Genomic DNA, 21,517 nt, shown 5'->3' with positions numbered 1-21,517 from the left:
GAAGTATTTCTTCAAGCCATCTTACTGTTGGTCAAAGTTTTACATCTGTGTTGTCTGGAGCTGTCAGATTTCATCAGGATAAGAGGAGGATGGAGGCCAAGTCTGATCCATCGGGTCTGTGTCACCTCACAGGCATACATCCTTGCTGTGAGCAGTTCACTACACAGTTCTGCACCCTACAAATGTGAAAGTCAAGAAATCCTATCTCATTAAATTCCTGTAAAAAATAAAACAATTTGGGTCTCACTTGGGTAAAATGAAAAACGAAATAACATAAAATAAAAACAAACTTCATGATACACTAACTATTGTACATACCATATTAGTGAGTACATTTTCATGAGGATAACACTTTCATTTTTGACTAGGTGTCGAAAGAACCCAATCTTTTGGGGCCTATTTTCAGCATTCTTAAAGACAATAAATTCCAAACAAAATTTCCTATCCCATCAAACTAAGCTTCATAAGCAAAGAAGAAAAAAAAATCTTTTCCAGACAAGCAGTCACTGAGAAAATGTGTTACCACTAGACCAGCTTTACAAGAGATGCTTAAACGAGGTCTAAAGATGGAAATAAGAGAACAACACCTACTGTTGCAAGAATACAGTTAAATGCATAGTTCAGAGACAGTAGATAGCAACAACACAATACATACTACAAGGAAAACAGCTGTCACCTTCATGATAGGATCAAAAACTCACATATAAATATTAACCTTGGGCCGGGCACAGTGGCTCGCACCTGTAATCCCAGCACTTTGGGAGGCTGAGGCGGGTGGATCACAAGGTCAAGAGTTCGAGACCAGCCTGCCCAGCATGGTGAAACCCAGTGTCTACTAAAACTACAAAAAATTAGCTGGGCATGGTGGTGCACACCTATAATCCCAGCTACTTGGGAGGCTGAGGCAGGAGAATCACTTGAACCCAGGAGGCAGAGGTTGCAGTAAGCCGAGATCGTGCCATTGTACTCCAGCCTGGGCAATAGAGCAAGTCTCTGTCTCAAACAAACAAACAAACAAACAAAAAATATTAATCTTGACTATAAACAGCCTAAATGACCCACTTAAAAGGCACAGATTACAAGTTGTATTTAAAAACCCAGACCCATCCATCTGCTGTCTTTGAAAAGATCCATCTCACACATAATGACACCCATAGTCTCAACAAAAAGGGTTGGAGGGAGATCTATCACACAAATAGAAAACACAAAAGGGAGAGGTTTGCTATTTTCACATCAGATGAAACAGACTTTAATCCCAAAACAGCAATTTAGAAAGGACAAAGAAGGGCATTACATGATGACAAAGGGTTCAATTAAACGAGAAGACTTAGTTATTCTTAAACATGTGCACCCAACATTGCAGCCCCTAGATTGATAAACAAGTATGCCCAGGCCAACAAAAAGAATTAGTCACAGAATAATAATGGGGTACTTCAATATCCCAATGGCAGTGTTAGATAGATTATTGACGTAGAAAACTAACAAAGAAATTCTGGATTTAAATTTGATACTTGACCAATTGGACCTAATAGACATCTACAGAATACACCACCCATCAACCACAGAACATACTTTCTTCTCATGGGACCACAGAGCATGCTCTAAGACAGACCACATGCTCAGCCATGAAGCAGGTCTCAATAAATTAAAAAAGGAAAATCATACTAACTGTAATCTCAGACCACAGTGGAATAAAAATAGAAATCAATACCAATAAGACAAAATGAAATAAAAATAGAAATCCATACTAAAGAGAGTTGCTGAAGCCACAATTTTTCCTGAGTGATAGGTACTATGGCCAGGAACAGCTATGCAGTCATGGACTTGTGTGTGGGTGTCATTTCTGGGTGCCCCAGCCTGCCCCCTTTGTCAGTTGGGAGGTGTGTCCCACCAGTTTTGAGCTGCTGGTGTGAATGGGGAGTGTGGTTCATAGCTCCCTTATCTTGCAAATAATTTGGCAGAGCAAAAACACCCCCCCCTCAGGTCCAAGCCTGGGCATATTTCCCAGCATTCAACACTTCCACTTCCTGAAATAAGGGCCTGGCACCCCTCCCATGAACAGAGCTTCTTGCAACAGCCATTTCTCCACTCTGCAGCAAATTTTTTTGTTCCTCACTGAGGGACATATTTCCAGGCATTTGGCCCATCTGCTCACCTAGATTAAGATCCTGGGTCACCCCTCCATTGCTGTGCAGACATCTTGGTGCAGAAGCACCCTCTTCACTCCACAACCAGGCATAATTTCAAGAATTCAGTACACCCCCTCACCTGGATTAGGAGTATAAGTTGCCTTTCCCTTCTAATGCGGAGATCTTAGTGCGTCTTTATTTTCCACTCCTCTCCAGGGCATAGTTCCAAGCACTCAGTGCACCTGCTCTACTGGACTGGAACCCTGAGTCACTTCTCTTGTCCTGTGCAGAAATCTTGGTACAGCAGTGCCGTCTCTGTCTTGCTCAGGGATATTTCCAGGCATGTTGAGTACCCACTTACCTGGAATAGGAACCTGAGCTTCCCCTCCCTTCTCATGCAGAGATCTTGGTGCAGACGCACCCTCTCCACTCCATGCTGGGCACATTCCCAGGCATTTGGAGAACCTTCTCACCTGGATTAGGAGCCTCAGCCACCCCTCCCTTCAGGTGCATAGGTCTTGAATCAGCAGCACCCACTGTGCTGCATGCCTGGACGTATCTTCATGCATGTGGAGTACTCGCTTTTCTAGATTAGGAGGGTAGGTTACCACTCCCTTTCCAGGCAGAGAACACTGGGCAGCAGAGGATTATCCCCTCCATACCCAGGCACATCTCTGGATGTTTTGCAGCTGCCTCTTTATCTGACTTCAGAGATAGTGCTTGCACCTACCACTGGTGGACATGTAGGCATGTCTGCATTCTCTGGCCCAAGCCAGCTTGGTCCCTCAGTCCAGGACTGTACAGGGAGCTCACACCACTGTGCATTCCACAACATAGCCCATTGCCTGAGGCAGCAGAAAGCATCTCGCCATAAACAAAGATCAAGTATATGCCCCATCTGAATCAGCCTTAGCTGGTTCTTATCCATAAGCACCACCCACTGGATTGGAAAATAAATGGCACAATCTAATAGAAAATCTGCTGACAGAAATGCATAGCACTGGAGAATGAGATAAACTTCCTGAGACCTCAGCCATACTGGACATGTAGGAGGCAGTGAACCCACTCATTTCTCCCTTCACCACTACTACAACCAACATCTAAGGAAGCCACCATACAAAGACTACCTATAACCAAGGAACATACACAGAACCTTTGACAATGAAAGCACCCAGAACCAAAGTTGAACCCTACACAGCACACATTATACACATTCTCAAGGGAGAAAAGGAAAAAACAAAAACATCCCTTCCAAATGAAAGTAAATTTAAAAATTAGAAACAGAGATAGCTTTACAGATGAGAAGGAACCAGAGAAAAAATTCCAAAAGTATGGAAAAGCAGAGTGTAACAATACCTCAAAAGGACCACACTAACTCTCCCGCAATGGGTCTTCATGAAAATAATTTTTCTGAAATGCTTGATAAAGAATTTAAAATGCCGATTTTAAAAATGCACAATATAATCCAAGAGAAAATTGAAAACCAAAATAAATCAGAAATACTATTCAAGTATCAAAAAAGATAGATTTTTAAAAACCCAAACAACTACTAGAAATAAAAAATGTATTGGTGAAATTTTGAAATCCAGTTAAAAGTATCAATAGTAGGCTTGACCAAAGCAGAAGAAATTATTTCAGATGTGGAAAGTAGGTCTTTGAAATTAACCCAGTCAGACAAAAATAAAGGAAAAAAATTAATGATTAAACATTTCAAGAAATATGGGACCATATAAAAAGCATGTAAAATTAGGAGTCACACATATTTCAGAGAGAGAACAAAAAGGAAAAAAATAGGAAAATCTATAAATGAGACAAATAAGGTAATTATATAATGATAAAGAAATTTATTGGGGAAGATCTAACAATTCCAAATACATTTGCACCAAACATTAGAACACCTAGATTCATAAAACAAATACTACTACACCTAAAAAAAGAGATAAATACCAATACGGTATTTGTATGGGACTTCAATATCTCACTGACAGAACTAGACAGTTTATTGAGGCAGAAAATCAACCAAAAAATTCTGGAATTAAGTTGAACTCTAGAGCAAATGGACCTAACAGATATTTACAGAATATTCTACCCTACAACTTCAGAATATACAGTCTTCTGGTATATGCATAAAACATTCTCAAAAATTTACCATATGCTAGGCCACAAGGAAAATTTCAATAAATGTAAAAAAATTGAAATCATACCAAATACCTTCTTGAACCACAGTGAAATAAACATACAGATCAACACTAAGAGGAATACTCAAAACTATACAAATACATGAAAATTAAATGATCTGCTTCTGAATGACTGTTGGACCAATGATGAAATTAAAATCGACATTAAAAAAAGTAAATGAATAAAAATAAAGATATAGATTGCAAAAATGTCTTAAAAACAACCAAATCAGTACTAAGAGGGAAATTTATAACATTAACTGCCTACATGAAAAAGATAGAAAGATTTCAAATAAGCAACTTAAGGTTATACCTCAAGAAACCTGAGGAAAAAAAACAAACCACACCCAAGGCTAGTAAAAAAGAAAAAAAGAATAAAAATCAGAAAAGGACTAAATGAAATTGAGACCAAAAAAAAAAAAAAAGAATCAATGAAATGAAGTTGGTTGTTTGAAAAGATCAACAAAATCAATAGACCACTAGCTAGATTAACCAACAAACAAAGAGAGGAGATTCAAACAAGTGCAAGCAGAAGCGATAAAGGTGTCATTACAACTGATACAACAGAAATACAGAAGATTATCAAAGACTACTCTGAGCATCGCTATGTGATCAAATGAGAAAATCTAGAAGAAATAGATGGATTTCTGGAAATATACAATCCCCTAAGTTTCAACCAGGAAGAAAAAGAAATTTTGAACAGACCAATAATGAGTAATAAAATTGAATTAGTAAGAAAAAAAAAAAAAAACTCCCAACAACAACAAAAAAGCCTAGGACCAGATGAGTTCATAGCCAAATTCTATCAGATGTACAAGACAGAACTGCTGCCAATCTTACTGAAACTTTTCCAAAAAGGGAATCTTCTCTATTCTATTCTATGTAGCCAGCATTGCGATGATACCAAAGATAGACAAGGACATAACCAAAAACAACAACAACAAAAAACTACAAACCAATATCTCTAATAAACATAGAAGCAAAAATCTTCAACAAAATGCTACCACACAAAATCCAGCAGCATATCAAAGACATAATACACAAAGATTGAGTGGGTTTTATTCCAGAGATGCAAGATTGATTCAACAGACACAATAAAAAAAATAGGATTCACCACATAAACAGAATTAAAAACAAAAATCATGTGATCATATCAAAAGATTCGGGAAAAGGCATTTAACCAAATGCAGCATCTCTTCATAACAAAGACCCTTACCAAACTAGGCATAGAAGGAACATACCTCAAAACAATAAATGCCATATATGACAAACCCAACGCCAACATCATTCTGAATGAAGAAAAGTTGAAAGCATTTTCCCTAAGAATAGGAATAAGGCAAGGATACCCACTATGACTACTCCTATTCAACATACTACCGGAAGTTCCAGCTAAAGCAATCAGGCAGAAGAAAGAAATAAAGTACATCCAAATTGTAAAAGAGGAAGTCAAATTTTCTGTTTTCTTTTATGTTATGATCTTATACCTAGAAAACCCTAGAGATTCTTCCAAAGACTCTTCGATTTGATAAATTTCTTCATGAAAGTTTCAGGATACAAAATTAATGTACAAAAATCAGTAGCATTTCTACATAACAATAATGACCAAGCTGAGAACAAAATCAAGAACTCAATCCAATTCATAATAGCTACAAAAAGTAATAAAATACCTAGAAACACATTTAACCAAGGAGGTGAAAGATCTCTACAAAGAGAACTACAAAATCCTGAAGAAAGAAATAATAGATGGCACAAAGAAATTTTAAAAATCCCATGCTTATAGATTGGGAGAATCAATATCATTAAAATGACCATACTGCCCAAGCTATCTACAGATTCAGTTAAATTACTATCATACTACCAATGTCATTCTTCATAGAATTAGAAAAAAAAATCCTAAAATTCATATGAAACCAAGAAAAGATCATGAATACCCAAAGTAATGCTAAGCAAAGAGAATAAAATTGGAGATATCATATTATATTGCAAGGCTGTAGTAACCAAAACAGCACGGTCATGTTATAGAAATAGACACATACTGAAAAATAAAGCCACACAGCTACAGTCAACTGATTTCTGACAAACTTGACAAAATTATATAAAGGGAAATCACATTCTATTCAATAAATGGTGCTGGGATAATTGCTGAGCCATATGTAGATTCATGAAACTGGCCTCTTACCTTCCATCACATACAAAAATTAACTCAAGGTGGATTAAAGACTTAAATGTAAGAACTGAAACTATAAAAATCTTAGAAGACAACCTAGGAAAAACTCTTCTAACTATTGATCTAGGCAAAGAATTTCTGATGAAGTCCTCAAAGTAAAATACAACAAAAACCAAAACAGAGAAATGGGATTTAATAAAACTAAAAAGCTTCTGCACAGCGAAAGAAATAATTATCAGTAAACAAACAACCTACAGAATGGGAGAAAAGATTTGCCAACGGTGTGTCTGACAAAGAGCTAATTTCCAGACTCTACAAGGAACTCAAACAACTCAACGAGAAAAACAAGAATAACCCCATTAAAAAGTGGGCATAGGGTATGAACAGACATTTTTAAATAAAAGACATACAAATGGCAAACTTATGAAAATGCTTAACATAATTAAATATCAGAGAAATGAAAATTAAAGCCACAATGCCATACCATCTTATACTAGTCACAATGGCTGTTATTAAGGAGTCAAAAAATAGCCAAGTGCAGTGGTTCATGCTTGTCATCACAGTATTTTGAGAGGCTGAGGTGGGTGGATCACTTGAGCTCAGGCATTCAAGATAAGCCTCGGCAACATAGTGAGACCTTGTCTCAACAAACAAGAAAAAAAAAATATCCAGGTGTGGTGGTGTGGGCCTGCAGTCCTTGCTACTCAGGAGGCAGAGCCAGGAGGATGCCTTGAGCCCAAGAGGTTGGGGCTGCAGTGACCTATGATCATGCCACTGCACTTCAGCCTGGGCAACAGAGGGAGACCCTGTCTCAAAAAAGGTCAAAAAACAAGATGTTGGTATGTAATTAGTATGACCTCTATAGAAAACAGTATGGTAATTTCTAGAAAACTAAAAATAGAACTACCCTTCAATCCAGCAATTCCACTACTGCCTATGTACCCCCCAAAAAGAAAGAAATCATTATATAAAAAAGCCTTCTGCATTTGTATATTTATTGTATCACAATTCAGAATAGCAAAGTTGTGAAATCAACCTAAGTGTCCATCAACACATCATTGAATAAAACAATCTGGTAGATATATACCATGGAATACTATTCAGCCATAAAAGTGAATGAAATTATGACTTTTGCAGCAATGTGTATGGAGCTGGAGGGCATTATCCTTAGTGAAATGACTCAGAAACAGAAAATCAAGAACTGCACATTCCCACTTATACGTGGGCGCTAAACCATGGACATGGACTTACTGAGTTGAATGATAGACATTGGAGGCTCCAAACGGTGGGAGGATAGAATGAGGGTGAAAGTGAAATGCTGCCTATCGGGTTCAATGTATCTTATTTGGGTAGTTGTACATTAAAAGCTCAGATTTCACCTCTACACAATATATCCATGTAACACAACTGCACCTGTACCCCTAAACCCATCAAAAATCTTTAAAAAATTTAGTTTTAAATAAATATATTTTAAATACCATACATCCTATAATTCAACAATGTATAGCCGATCATTAGCCACTGGTATTTCTGTCTACCAATGAGAATTACTGATCAACAACTTTTGTAATCATGCCTTCTCTTCATTTGTACTTTTTATTCCTTAAAATCTTGAGTTTCTTTTTTGTTCTACAGAGCAGTCCCCAAGGCAACTTGAAAGTGTGTCCTGTGCTCCACTTTTGCTTGATCTCTGTGCTTAAATAAATTCTCTTTCGACTGGAAAAAAGAATTAAGAGAAATGAATGAATGAATGAATACAAAAATAATTTCAAAACTAACTGAACAGTGTACACAGAAGCCTAACACAAGACTCTTAATGTTTATCTTATAATTAGTTATTAAAGTCTCTTCTTGTTTTCTTTTTCTGAATATAGAAGATCAAAGTGAAACCAATAGGTATACAGACAATACTTGGCTGTAAATCTATGAAATGTATGTTGACTAATTATACCTTTTTAAATGAGGAGAATTATACAGAACAAAAGGCCAAAGTATAGCCTATAGTAGACAGGCAATAAATATTTGTATTTAGTGGAAAATAAATAAAACTCCGTTTTACAAAAAGCATGGGATGTCCTATAAAATTAATGGAAGATACTCCTTCCCTTTCAAAAATAAAACAAAGTTTTAAAAGCGAAGAAAATTCTAAAGAAATTATAAAGATTGCACGCGCTTGGTTCCTAGTTTATTGCTTTTCCTCCTTACATATCTTCTTCCTCTCTGTTTAATTCTCTTTCTCCTTCTCTTGCTCTTAGTAAATAATCAAATGTTTCTGCCCTCATTTTATCTATATCTTGATTGTCAAAACCAGAACACATACCTATAAGGCAAGCACAACGGGTAGGAACACAGTGTCCAATCTTAAGAAAATATCTTAATCTTTCTCAGTCTCATTTCTCTTCTCTTGAAATGGTGGCATCAGTCAGGATGAGCTGGGTTATGCTGTGGTAACAAAAAAAGTATGAGGGACTTAAGACAGCAACATACCATTCCATTATTGTGACTGCTATTTGTATAGATGCACTGCATGTGTGTTGGGGGTGCTGAACTATGTTGTGCTCACTCTGGACCCCAAGATGATGGAGAAGACACCCTCACAATGGTATCAGTGGCCAAGGCAATGAGCACCAGCTTTCCCCAAGTGCAACTGGAAGTAACAGATGCCACTTATTCTTCTATTATATTGACCAAAGCAGGTCATGACTACAACAAACTCAAAGGAAGGGGAAGGACAATCCTGTCTTGTACCCATAAGAAACAGAAGCACTCAAGGGACAGCCCTAATGACTACCACAAATGCCCACTCAATCACACCAGGCAGATGTCTGTGCTGCCCACAGCACCGGGGTACCAGGCAAGCAAGAGCACAGCTCAGATCCCACTTTGTCCCTGCTCACCACCTCTGCTTCCCCAGACATTTTGGACATAGTGGACCTGAAACCAAATAATAGAAGTATAATAAAATATAGTGACCTCACAGGGGGGATGGCTCACGCCTATAATCCCAGCACTTTGGGAGGCCAAGGCAGGTGGATCACTTGATGTCAGGAGTTTGAGACCAGCCTGGCCAACGTAGTGAAACCATGTCTCTACTAAAAATTCAAAAATTAGCCAGGCATGGTAGCGCATACCTGCAGTCCCAGCTACTTGGAAGGCTGAGGCAGGAGAATCACTTGAATCCAGGAGGCGGAAATCGCGCCACTGCACTGAGAGATCGCGCCACTGTACTGCAGCCTGGATGACACAGTGAGACTCCGTCTCGAAAAAAAAAAAAATATATATATATATATATATATATGTATACAGTATCCTAAAAATGCCTTAAAGTACACAGAAAAACATTTTACCCAGCTTCGGGCAGTAAAGCATCACCTAGGCAGAGTACCTTGATGATCATTTGTGTTTTCACCCACCAAGTTCACCAAGATGCCAAGATTATTTTGCCCTGAACCCACTTGGAACTGCCTGGGTGCTGGCATGTGGTGTTGGGTTGCCTCTCTTACCCAATTCCTTGTTCCATGGAAGGGAATGAGCTTCATAGCACCAGTGATTCATTTTCACCTTTACCTTATTTTACTTTTGGGCCTCCAAGCTAATGATTACAATTTTCCTTGTCTCTCATTTCTTTTATAGACATTTTCACTTTTCTGTGTGATTTTTTTTAAATGACATAAAGCTATTTGCTTTCTGTTTCTGCAACTTTTATAAAATGTTTCTCTTTTAATTACTCAAGAGGATTTGTCCATAAATTAAAGTTGCTAAACAAAGATTTATGGAAAATTTTCAGACTTGTCATAAAATGGGCCTAATTGTGTCCTCCTCCTGTATTATTGAGCATGTGCTCTGTGGTAGACACTCGATTGGGTGCTGGATAACTCGAGGAGGAAGATCTGAGTCTTCCACCATCAATGGGTGTCAGGTCTGCTAGACAGGGAAGTGGAAATCAGAGGAGAGAATAGGGCACTGGAGAGCACAGAGCAAGGCACCAAACCCATAGAGAGGCTAGGGGAGGAGGACAAGCTGCCTACATTCCTGGGTCCTTTCTACCTCAGCATCAATCAGCCCACTTTCCATTTGCCAGCATCTGTAACCATTTACCTGTACAAATAGCCCAAGTAAGTGCAAGATAACTAATTCCCTGGCACAGTCTCCAGCAACGACTGACACCACCTGACACGTCAAACACAATCTGCCAGACGTTCCCAGCAGAAATGAGCCACATAGCAGTCAGTAGCCTGACAGCTCACACTCATAGTATTGACCACCTTCTCATCCCTGTTTCATTTCCTCACTGTCCTAGTAGTGTACCCAGGGATTGCCTTCCAAATAAGCCACTTGCAATTGAATTCTGATTACAAGGACTCCCTCTGGGTAGCCCGATCTAGACAGTCATCTTTATGGAGAATGTAATTTCTGTGGAATCACAAAAGTTGAAGAGGAATCAATGAGGTGACATAGGGGAAGGGAATTCCAAAACAGGGAGTCTGGGCCAAGACACGTGGGTGTGAATAAGTGTCAAGTTCCATATGAGGTGGGATGACCCTGGAGTTTCAGAGGTTTCAAACACTGAGCTCCAGCTCAAAAGCTATCTAACTGGGCCCACCATGGAATTTGCCAAGTATCCAAAGGTGTTGAGGACTGGGGACTGCTGGGAGATCTAACCTCATGCCAAAAGCATGAAACCAGACTGCACGGGTTAAAAGCCTGGTTCTTCCACTTATAAGCTGTGCGATTTTGTAGTACTTGCCTCTCTGTGGTTCAATTTCTTCATCTGTAAAATGGAGACAGTAATAGTAACTACTAAGCAGTTATGTGATGCTATAATAAATTATTGAATGTTATGTTCATTGTAAGGTGACGTTATTATTATTAGCTAGTTTTTGTTTGTGATTCTCTCAGCGATCTCTGAAAGGCACATCACGTGGGGAAGGAGACTCAGTCCTTGCTCACCAGGACCTCATGGACTAGTGGGGGACAGAAATACACACACAAGTAAGAAAGACCATGAGAGGAGGAGGATAAATGCCTATAGTGAATATAAAAGTGCTGTAGGAGACCAAAATCAAAAGGTTCACACCTGGTTACATGGATCAGAGAAGGATTTATAGAAAAGGTTTATGTAGACCTGAACTTGGGAAGCATGTTATATTTGAAGAGGCAAAGATCTATGGTGGATGGGGAGCTACAGTGCACTTTCCAGAAGGGCAAATTCATATAAGCTTGGACAGGATGTGTCTGAGAACGTCAAGGAAGTCCAGCTTCTCTAGAGGCCAAGCCACATGATGGGCAAAAGCTGAAGGGAAGCCACAGAGGGCAGGTTTCCAGGGCTTCATGTGGCAGGGGATGTGGCTTTCAGAACATTTGAGAACCAGAGAAACAGAATCTAAGGGTGCAGACCAGTGGACCAGTGAGGACATCACTGTGGATGTCCAGACCAGACCTATCTAGAAAGGATCCAGCAATGTGGGAGATGAGAAATAAAATAAGTCTTCTCTTTTATTGATTTCAAAATAGTTCTGAGAATAGAAGGCAGGTTATCATACTCTTCTATCGTGTTACAAAGCCAATTGCCACCTTATTTTTCTGTATAAAATATAGAATCAGAATGACTGTATAATCACACGAGGTTGATAAAGGGCAGAACACAATGTCCAATGCAGAGTAACTGCTGACACCTGGCAGTGACAGTGAAAATGATGATGGTGATGATGACGGTATTGTGGAGATGGAGATGGTGATCGTGGTGAAGATGCTAATGATGATGCTATAGCAGCAGTGGTGATTGTGGTGATGATGATAGTAATGGTGGTGATAGTGACGGTGATGATGGGGATTGTAGTGGTCACGTTGCTGATAATGGTCATAGCGTGATGATGGTAGTGATGATGGTGGTGATAATGTTGGTGATGGTGGTGGTAGTGGTTATGATGTGGCAAAAGTGAGAATGGTGACAGCAGTGGCAGTAATGGTGATGGCGGTGATGATAATGGAGAAGGTGATGCTGACGATAATGATGATGGCGGTGAAAGCGGTGGTGATTATGGTGATGATGATGGTAATGAAGATAGTGATGTGGTGATGATGGTGGTTATGGTGGTCATGTTGATACTGGTAATGGTAGTCATGATGATGATGGTGTTACGGATGAGGATTACCATGGTGATTGTGGTGGTGATGGTGATGGCAATGGTGGTGGTGATGGTAGTGATGGTGGTGATGGTAATGGTGGTGGTTGTGGTGATAGTGGTGATGGTGATGTTAGTAGTAATAGTGATGGCAATGGCAATAGTGTTGATAATGATGGTGATGGTGGTGATGGTAATGGTGGTTGACAGTGATGGTACTAGTGGTGATGGGGGTGTTGATGATAATGGGGATAATGGTGCTTATGTTGCTGAGTATGTTAATGGTGAGGTTGGTGGAGATAGTGATGGTGACACTAGTGATGATGTTTACAACAGTGGTGATAACAGTGATGCTGATGGGACAGTGGTGATTGTGGTGATGATAATGATGATTGCTTGGATGGAGATGGTGGTGATATTATGTTTTATGGGAGAGGATGAAGCTATTTGGAGCGGAATGTAAGCACCAGGCCTGAGCAGGTACCAGTAAGAGAGTTCCACTGTCTAGAGATTTATCAGATCGGGACTAAGGTGAATCTTCTCCCTAGACACCTCATCGTGGATGGAAAACTGTGTCTGTCACAAATGGATCACGTGTCCCTGTTAACCACAAGAACAAAAGTAGATTTTCCCTGGCATTCACACCTCTGACCTCCAGAAGGGACCATGAGCAAGAAGGAGATGGGAGATGGGTAGCTTTAGTAAAGGGGGAGGGGAGGAAGAGGGCCAACAGTAATAACAGCGGAAGAGGGAAGAGTGAAAGAGAGGAAAGAAACCAGTCTTGTCCACAGAGGTGTCCACATGTTCATCACCCACCCTGAGAGAGTCCTTGTCTTCTGAGAGGGTCCGTTCTGGGCCTGTCCAGCAGGGCCGTGGGGACAGCTGCAGGAAAAGGAGGCTATGCCATCTACTGGCCATTGCTCTGATCAATAAAACCCTGCACACCCCTGTAGCCCAGAGCAGCAAGAACAGAGCCAAGCAGAGGGGCCTCTGCAGAACCCATACAGCACTCAGGGAGTGTTTAGTTAGTAGAGCTTCTTCCTTCAATGCAGATCCTATGTCGACCCCAGGGCCACCTTCAGAGCCTGCTCCCCAGGGTGAAGCTGGAGTAAAAGGCACCTGAGGGGCTGGTCATCCATGGGTGAATGCTGCCCTCTATTGGTCATTGTGGTGAAGTGGAGGATGCCGGGATTTACAGGGCAGGTGGCTGGGGGCACAGGAATTGCCCTGTAGCTTTGTGGTTTATCTGCCACCTTGGAGGATTCTCTTCATGATCTCTTCATCTTCACATGTCATATTTCAACATATTGTCACCTTCTTTATCGTGGGGTAGGAAGACTGCCGCTCTGCGAGACTCTTCCCACCTTAGTTCCTGTCAGAAGCCCTCCATCTCTCAGAGGTCAGCCACCCACCCTCTCTGCGAAATCTGACACAGCCCAGGATCTCTCTCAGACACCTTCCAAGCCATGGGTTATAGACTCTGGGTTCCTGTAATCCATGCTTTTTTAGATTAAGAATTGCTAATGTTAATTTTCCAAATATGGTTGGCAAAGATTAAAATTGACTATCACTAATTCATAATGGAAAACCATGTGGTACTGCCCCAAATGAAGTCCATGATCAAAATTGAGAGGTGCCCTCCCCTGCACTCTCGTAAAACCTGAACCTCTAAGCTGGATCCACGGGGTGGCATTTGAGATCCACAGTCCTACATGCATAACGCCCCAACACTCTATGAGGACGGCTCTGGATTCCTCCCCAAAGCCCCAGCCCTGACAATCTGCTCATCCTCACCTCTGCCTTGGCTGAGTAACCATCCTGTGACTTACTCAGGCCTGGGCTGGAGTTCTGTTCTTTCCTCCTCACTGCGCCCTCAACCCAGCCCTCAGCAAGTCCTGCCCCGCCACCTCTCATAGGCATCCTGAGTCTCCTGTGCTCCAACTCCCGGCCACGGCACAGGCCCAGGTCACTGTCCTCTCTTTCCTGAGCAACTGCAATGTCCTCCTGACTGTTCTCCACCCTCCCATTCTCACCAACTAGAAGCCTGTTCCTTCCCTGTGGCCATGCCAGCCTTCTAATAATATAAAAGGTGTCTTGTCATGTCCTGGTAAAAGCTTTCAAAGGCTTCTCATTTCACTTGGAGTAAAATAGAAATTCTTCAGCACGGTGTGCAAGGCATGGCAGGAATTGATATCTGCTCATCCACCAAACCCAGTCTGCTTACCTCTCCTGCCAGCCGGTTCCTCACTCAATTCAGGAGCTTCCACAGGTTAGGATCATTTCCAGCTAGGGGTCGGTTTATGATTTTCTTTGCATTAAACACCATTCTTGCTGGCTTTCTGCAGCTGGCTCTTTCTCCTCCTTAAAAGTCTAGCTCACATGTTATTTCCTCAAATCGCTCCTTCCTGATCATTCTCTGCAGTTAGAATTTGGCTTGGCCACCAGTTCGTTTAAGGCAATATTGTATCCATCTCATTCTCTGTAATGTGTCTGTGCTTCTCACAATCTGTGGAATGTGGAGGACACTCAGTGTGCATACTGGATGAACATGCCTTTATGGGTGTGTCAGAGACTTTCCCAGTGTGGATAAGATGATTTCATATGGATACCTTGCTAGCAGCCCCATGAGGTGACAATGACTCTAAGACGACTTGTTAGAACTGCCATTTCAATGGCTAGAGTTTTAATTACTTTTGGATCTTTTGAAAAACAGTAAAATCTTAAAAGGAAATATCAAAATGCAACTGGGGAAGGATAAGAAATGACCCTGGGGAGGGTGGCAGGAAGCACAAGCTGTCCCAGAGGAAGAGTCCTGGAAACCAGCCAGCAGAGCCCCCACCAGCAATACTGTCAGCCTTTCTCCAGGGCTTCTCTGTGCCGACCAATTTGGCAAGAACCTCTTACACATCATCATTTTGTTCTTCACTTATTCCCAAAACATAGAGAGATTCTTTTTCTGATGAGAAGATAATTCCTAGCACACAACAGGCACACCATAACCTTATTTTGACTGAATGCGTGGAGGCATCCCACGTCCACTCTTAAGGAGAGGAGATCGCTGGAGAGTTCCAAGATTCCAGGCAGAGCTCAGCAGTGTTGAGATCACAGTGTGGGGTCTGACACTTTTTGTTGCAGTTTCCTTGTCTGAAAAATGTGGAAAACATATTTTATAAAGATTGCTGGAGAATCCATTCATTCGCTCAACTAATTCCTTACTGAGTCCAGTGCTAGGGCTGAGACCACAGCATTGAGCAAGTAGACAGTGTGCCATGTGCATGGAACAAAGGAAGCAGAGAGGCACAGGCATGGCAGCTGATAGACATCCCCTTCTTTCCTTCTAGGCCTGTGATTCTCACCAGAAGAGGGTGCCTTGGAGTAGGTTGAGCCCACTGGAAGGAAGCACAGGAGGTAAAGTGAGTGCATCTTCAATGTGATGCTACCCTAGGAAAATGCCATGGTGCTGCTGAACTACGACAGTGATAACAAATGCTGCAGTGGGAACCCAGAGACCTCAGAGAAGAGCGATGAGGGCTTCCGGGGGAACACAAGAGCTGTTGAATGGAGTGAGCCATCAGGGGACCCGTAGTGGGCAGCTCTCAGGCTCCTGAGGGATTGGTGCCTTGTTCAGGTGCATGCACACACACAATCTCAAACACACATACACAGTCTCATGCAATAGTGTACTACTACAGAGAAAACCTGCTGTATAAATATTTCTCAGTAATGAATTTCCGCAAAAGCATGAAACTCTTTATGTTCATGGAAAATTCTAGAAAAACTCCTTGCAGGGTGCAAAAGATCTAAAACAGTGTTTGCAAACTGTTGCACACAGCACAAATGTGGCTATGAGTTAATATATATTGCTAATTACATTTTCAAAGATTCCCTGAAGAATACATTGAAATTATACTGTATACAAAAGCCTCCATTCAGAGATACCAATGCACATTAGAATATTCATTAAAACAAAAAATACTTGCAATGAGAATCTGATTCATTCTCTTCCAACTTTCCTAGACGATTCTGTTCCTCACACCCTTTGTGTTTTGCGGGGAAGGGCTAACATGTATCAGCAACCATGAGAAAGAGTGTCCTGTGAAGATAAATTGGGAAACACTGATCTAGAATAATGTTTCACCTTCTGTGAGTTCTAGTACAGAGAAAGCAAGTAAATATATTGATGATAATGGAACTAAGATTTATAAATGTCCAAGAAAAGAGCCACAACTATAGAAAGGAGGGGACTGGAAAGAATCTCATTGCATTGGGTTTGGTGTCAATATTAACTCAGAGTTTTTAATACGTAAATAGGTAATAGAACAATAGCTATCTACACGTGGGTAAGTTTCTGTGTGTATTTTGTAGCACTGACCAACAGACAAGGCCAAGAACAAGGTTCCTCTACTTCTGCACTGTGGCCATGTGAGACCTAGGAAATGTCCTATGCATTGCAGAATGTTGATCAGCATCCCTGCCCTCTCTCCCTAAATGCCAGTAGCACCTGCCTTACAAATTGGAACAACCAAACACATCCCTAGACATTACCAAATGTGCCCTGGGAAGCAAAATTGCCCCAGGTTGAGAATCTCTGACTGAGGCCTCACGGCATTCCAGGAGTGGTGAGTACAGGCAGCACGCGGGAATTGCTTTCTGCATTCACTGCAGATTCCAACCACTGATTTTCACCTTGGATCAGAGAAAGTAAAACATAAATCTAGGACTTCTTGTTATATCAGAAAGTAAGGATAAGCTCAAATAATGATGGAAATATGTCAAGAGGACACAGGAAGCAGCTTAAAGGGGCTCCCACTAGCCTATTCTGAGATAATTTTAACATTCTAATAAACAAGAGCAATACATTCTAACTCACTGAGTAAAATAAGAAACCATGAGTGGGATAGATCTATAGCAAAATAGATGACTAACAGATAGATGGATAGGTAGGTAAAAGAGAAAAGTGTTTCCTTGCAGTAGAATGAATGCCATTTATAAGTATGTTTTAAAAACGAAGTTAGGAATACAATTTGAAAGCAATCATAATAACAATTGATTCGAAGAGGAATTATTATTGTATGCTAAAGCTAGAAAGCAAAAGTGAAAACTTTATAAGTAAGACATAAATACATATTTCAAAGTATTGCTCAGTGAAATAATTCCTAATTATAAAGGAGAGAAGAGTAAACCATACTGTGGAGAGATCTGTCAGATACCATCTGAACCTAGAGATCAAAGTTAGTGTCTGTCAGCCATGGGACAGCGATGTTATGGCCTCCTGGTAGGAGGTACTGAGGGACACAAGATCACATCTACAATTCTTCTCTGAAAATCTGCATAGCCTGAATCTCATCCATTGACAAAGCCCAGTTGAGGACATTCCATGAAATCGCCAGTTATCTTCAAAAATGACAAGATTACAAAGATAAGAAAGACTGAGAAACGGTTTCAGATCAGAGGAGACTGAGGCGGCCTGACAATGACACACAGTTGATGAATTGCATGGATGACAGATTAGACGACAATGTGGACCCATGCTAGTGCTGTGATTCCTCTCACTGCACTGAGGCTGTGCTGGAGAATGTCCTTGGCCTTAGGGGACACAGATGAGAATGTCTAGGGACAAAAGGAGTCACACCTGCAGCTTGCTCTGAAATGGCTCAGGAAAAGCTGTAACAGTGCATACACATATAGAAAGAGGGAAAAGCGCGCGAGACACAATGTGAGGAGTGGGAGGGTCTGGGTGTGTACAGGAGCTCTTTATATTACTCTTGCTGCTTTTTGTAAGTTTGAAGTCACTTCAAAACTACAATAAAAAAGTTTATTATTACTTCTTTTCTAATAAATATAGAAAAATAAAATTGCTTCATTTTTTCTATATTTATTAATGGCATTCTTTTTACTCCAAGGAAGAACTTTTCTCCTTTATCTGTATCTATCTTTCCATCTCTCTATTTGTTAATCATCTATTTATCCACAGATCTAGAAGATTCATGGTTTCTTATTTTATTCAATGAATTGTAATCTATTACTATCATTTATTTGAATGTTTAAATTTTCTCAGAGTTGACTAGTAGAGCCCCTTTAAGCTGCTTCCTGTGTCCTCCTGACATACTTCCATCATCTTTTTATCTTTTACAAAAAATTAAAAATTAAAAATACAGCAAAGTGCTGCCTCAGCACTGAGACCCCAGCCCCACCCAGCACACACAGGCCTGTGTGCTCAGCTTGTTGGAAAGTCCCGGCTCATGCTTCCCATCCTAGCATGGACTTCCAGCCAAGCCACAGTACCATGAAGCTACAGGCCAGCTGGTTACTACGGATGTGTTTCACCAGCGTCCACACCCTGTACTGTTCCTTGGAGCAGAGAAACGGGGTGTGAGACGGCAGGGACTAGGGCACTGAAGAGAATGCATGGGCAGAGACTGAGGAAGGAGCTCCCTCTGCTTCCCCCAGATGTGTTGCCTCACAAGGGACAGCCACGTTCCCCACCACTCACTCTACCTGCACCTCCCTCTGCAGCACAGGGGGGTCACTACTGTTTCACAGCCTCCTTCTTCTGTTTCCTCCTGGGTTTTCACCATAAGCCCCCTCTCCCACATGCACACCCCCACCAGGATGGGCCTGTGAGTCTGGTACCACATTGCCAGCAATGGATAGAGGTGGGAATGGAGGTAGAAAGGGGTAAGTTCTTCATCCAGAGTAACACAGTAATCAACAGATCACAAACTATAGGCCTAAAAAGGACTCTCGGAAGCCATGGCCTTTGACCTGCTCATTTTATAGAGAAGAAAGAGAGAGGTCCTGAAAAGGGAGCTGTCCACACTTGGAGGACTCCTGAGAAGCCAACACTTCCCAGAAAAATCCCAGGATGGAACAAAGGAGACAGAGAAAAGTCAGCCTAGGTAGTAGTTCAGCCAACCACTGCCAGCACGAAATCCACCTGCTTCCTGGGCGCATATATGCCATGTCACAACAGTGTTTTTCCAAGATTCATGGGGGTGTGACAAGATGGATGGACAGCTGGCTCCCTCGCTGGAACTAAAGTATACATCCATGCCCTGTGCCATGCAGCTAGCAGCGCCTCTTTCCAGAAAATGCAGAGTAGACCCCCATTGCCATTGTGCATGGTCATGGGTCTTGCTTGGCCTATAGGATGTTAACACATGGGACAAGCGCAGAGACCTTAACCCTGCGTGTGTGAGAGGCTGGTCCTCCTGCTCCCGTCTGAGCCTCCATGAGAAGAACCTGGCCCAGACAGGCACCACCCCTTCAGCATGGACCCCAGCATGAAGACACAAGCCAAGCCAGCACCAGACCCACTGACCCCCAGCCCATGTGCAGGCGGCAGAGCATGACAGGTATAGCTTGTTGCTGTCAGCCCCCGAGATGCTAAGGTTTTTCCTAGGGAACAGCAGCTGACTAATGCATGAGTTATCCCATTTTCCATGGTGCATCTTCTCCACTCTTATTCCAAGTGAACCCTTGGCTGCCCCCATAACAATCTGTGTTCCGTAACAAGTACTAAAGATGGTTGTTACAAGGACTAGAAACAAGAGCTTTAAATATTTCCTTCTGGTCCTTCGCGGTGGCTCACGCCTGTAATCCCAGCACTTTGGGAGGCAGAGGTGGAAGAATGGCTTGAGCCCAGGAGTTTGAGATCAGCCTGGGCAACATAGCAAGACATTGTTTCTACTAAAAATTTAAAAAATTAGTGCAGCATGGTAGTGCACACCTCTAGTTCCAGCTACTAGAAAGGCTGAGGTGGGAGGATCACTTAAGTCTGGGAGGTCAAAGCTGCAGTGAGACGTGATTGTGCCACTGCACTGCAGCCCAGGAGGCAGAGCGAGCCCCTGTCTCCAAATAAATAAATAGTCTCCTTTTGGCAAATCCTAACAGCTACCCATCTCTCGGATTCAGAGGACAGCATTTAACTCTCTTCAGGCAGATGAATACCTGTGCTTTTGTCCTCTGTCTGCTATCCTCAGCCCTCCGCTTCCTCAGCTCTGCTCATCAAACACTCTTTGTTTTATGAATGATGTATTGCCCAATTCTAGCCTCTAAACCAAAGCCAATAAAGACCTTTAAACGGGATGTGTTGTAATCTTTTCTTCTGACACCTTGTAGGTATGGATATGACTTGGGGACTTTGTCCAAGGTCTCCAGCACACACAGGGAGCTATTGTCCTCACATATCCCAAGAGACTTCTGGTGTTGCTTTAAGTGGACTATTTTATTCTCTTCAGAGGACCTAAGCATTTAGGAGAAACAAGATGGGGAAAAGAAGGTGAGTTCAAAATTAAAACCAAGAAAAAAAGTTGATTTTTACCATGACCGCAAACACAAGAATCCCACAGCAGGGCTGTTGCAGAGGAGTGTTTAAAGTCCCCATTTAAAATCATATAATGTGTAAACCAGATCAGAGATAACTGAAATTAAAATGAAATTGCAAATCAGAAGTACACCCTTCTCAGCTCTACTTACTTCCTTCTCTGGGCCTCCAGTGTCCAATGTCATTGGAGGGTCCCTCCACAATTGCAACTGTCCGGGATGAACAGAGATGGGCAGGAGACTCGCTTCCCACGGTTCCAATGCCTGAGAGACCACAGAAAAATAGCCAGAGCAGTGTGGGCTATGTGAGGTGTGCAAAACCTATCAGGCCCAGAGAGACGTGAGTGTGGGACTTTAGTCATGTCCTTCCTACGCATGGCTGGGGGCAATTGTTTAAAGGCATTCTATTCCTGATGACCTGTCTCACCCATTATCTTCCCCATCCTGGAAAAATGTATAGCCAATTTACAGCATATGTTATCTTAATGTAAATTCTTGGTAAACAATTTAGAAATGGCCTTTTTTTCTTTAAAAACTCACTTGCAACTGCTGCTAATTGGAGCATATCTTCAGGGCAACTTTAATCTATGCAAC

The 21,517-nt window shown here is 41.6% G+C and overlaps 1 long non-coding RNA gene across 1 annotated transcript; it reads right to left on the bottom strand.

Annotated features, from left to right (window-relative positions):
• Nucleotides 1–7,454: 7,454 nt before the first annotated feature.
• LOC107985383 (uncharacterized) lies at nt 7,455–21,255 on the bottom strand. Its single transcript, XR_001754712.2, has 5 exons — nt 21,077–21,255; nt 20,675–20,843; nt 14,823–15,987; nt 8,794–8,915; nt 7,455–8,189 (listed from the first exon to the last, which is right to left on the bottom strand). It is a non-coding gene; the product is annotated as an uncharacterized LOC107985383 (long non-coding RNA).
• Nucleotides 21,256–21,517: the final 262 nt, after the last annotated feature.

Source organism: Homo sapiens, chromosome 20 (assembly GCF_000001405.40).
Source record: "Homo sapiens chromosome 20, GRCh38.p14 Primary Assembly".
Taxonomy (NCBI): Eukaryota; Metazoa; Chordata; class Mammalia; order Primates; family Hominidae; genus Homo; species Homo sapiens.
This window is presented reverse-complemented; position numbering and strand designations above follow the sequence as displayed.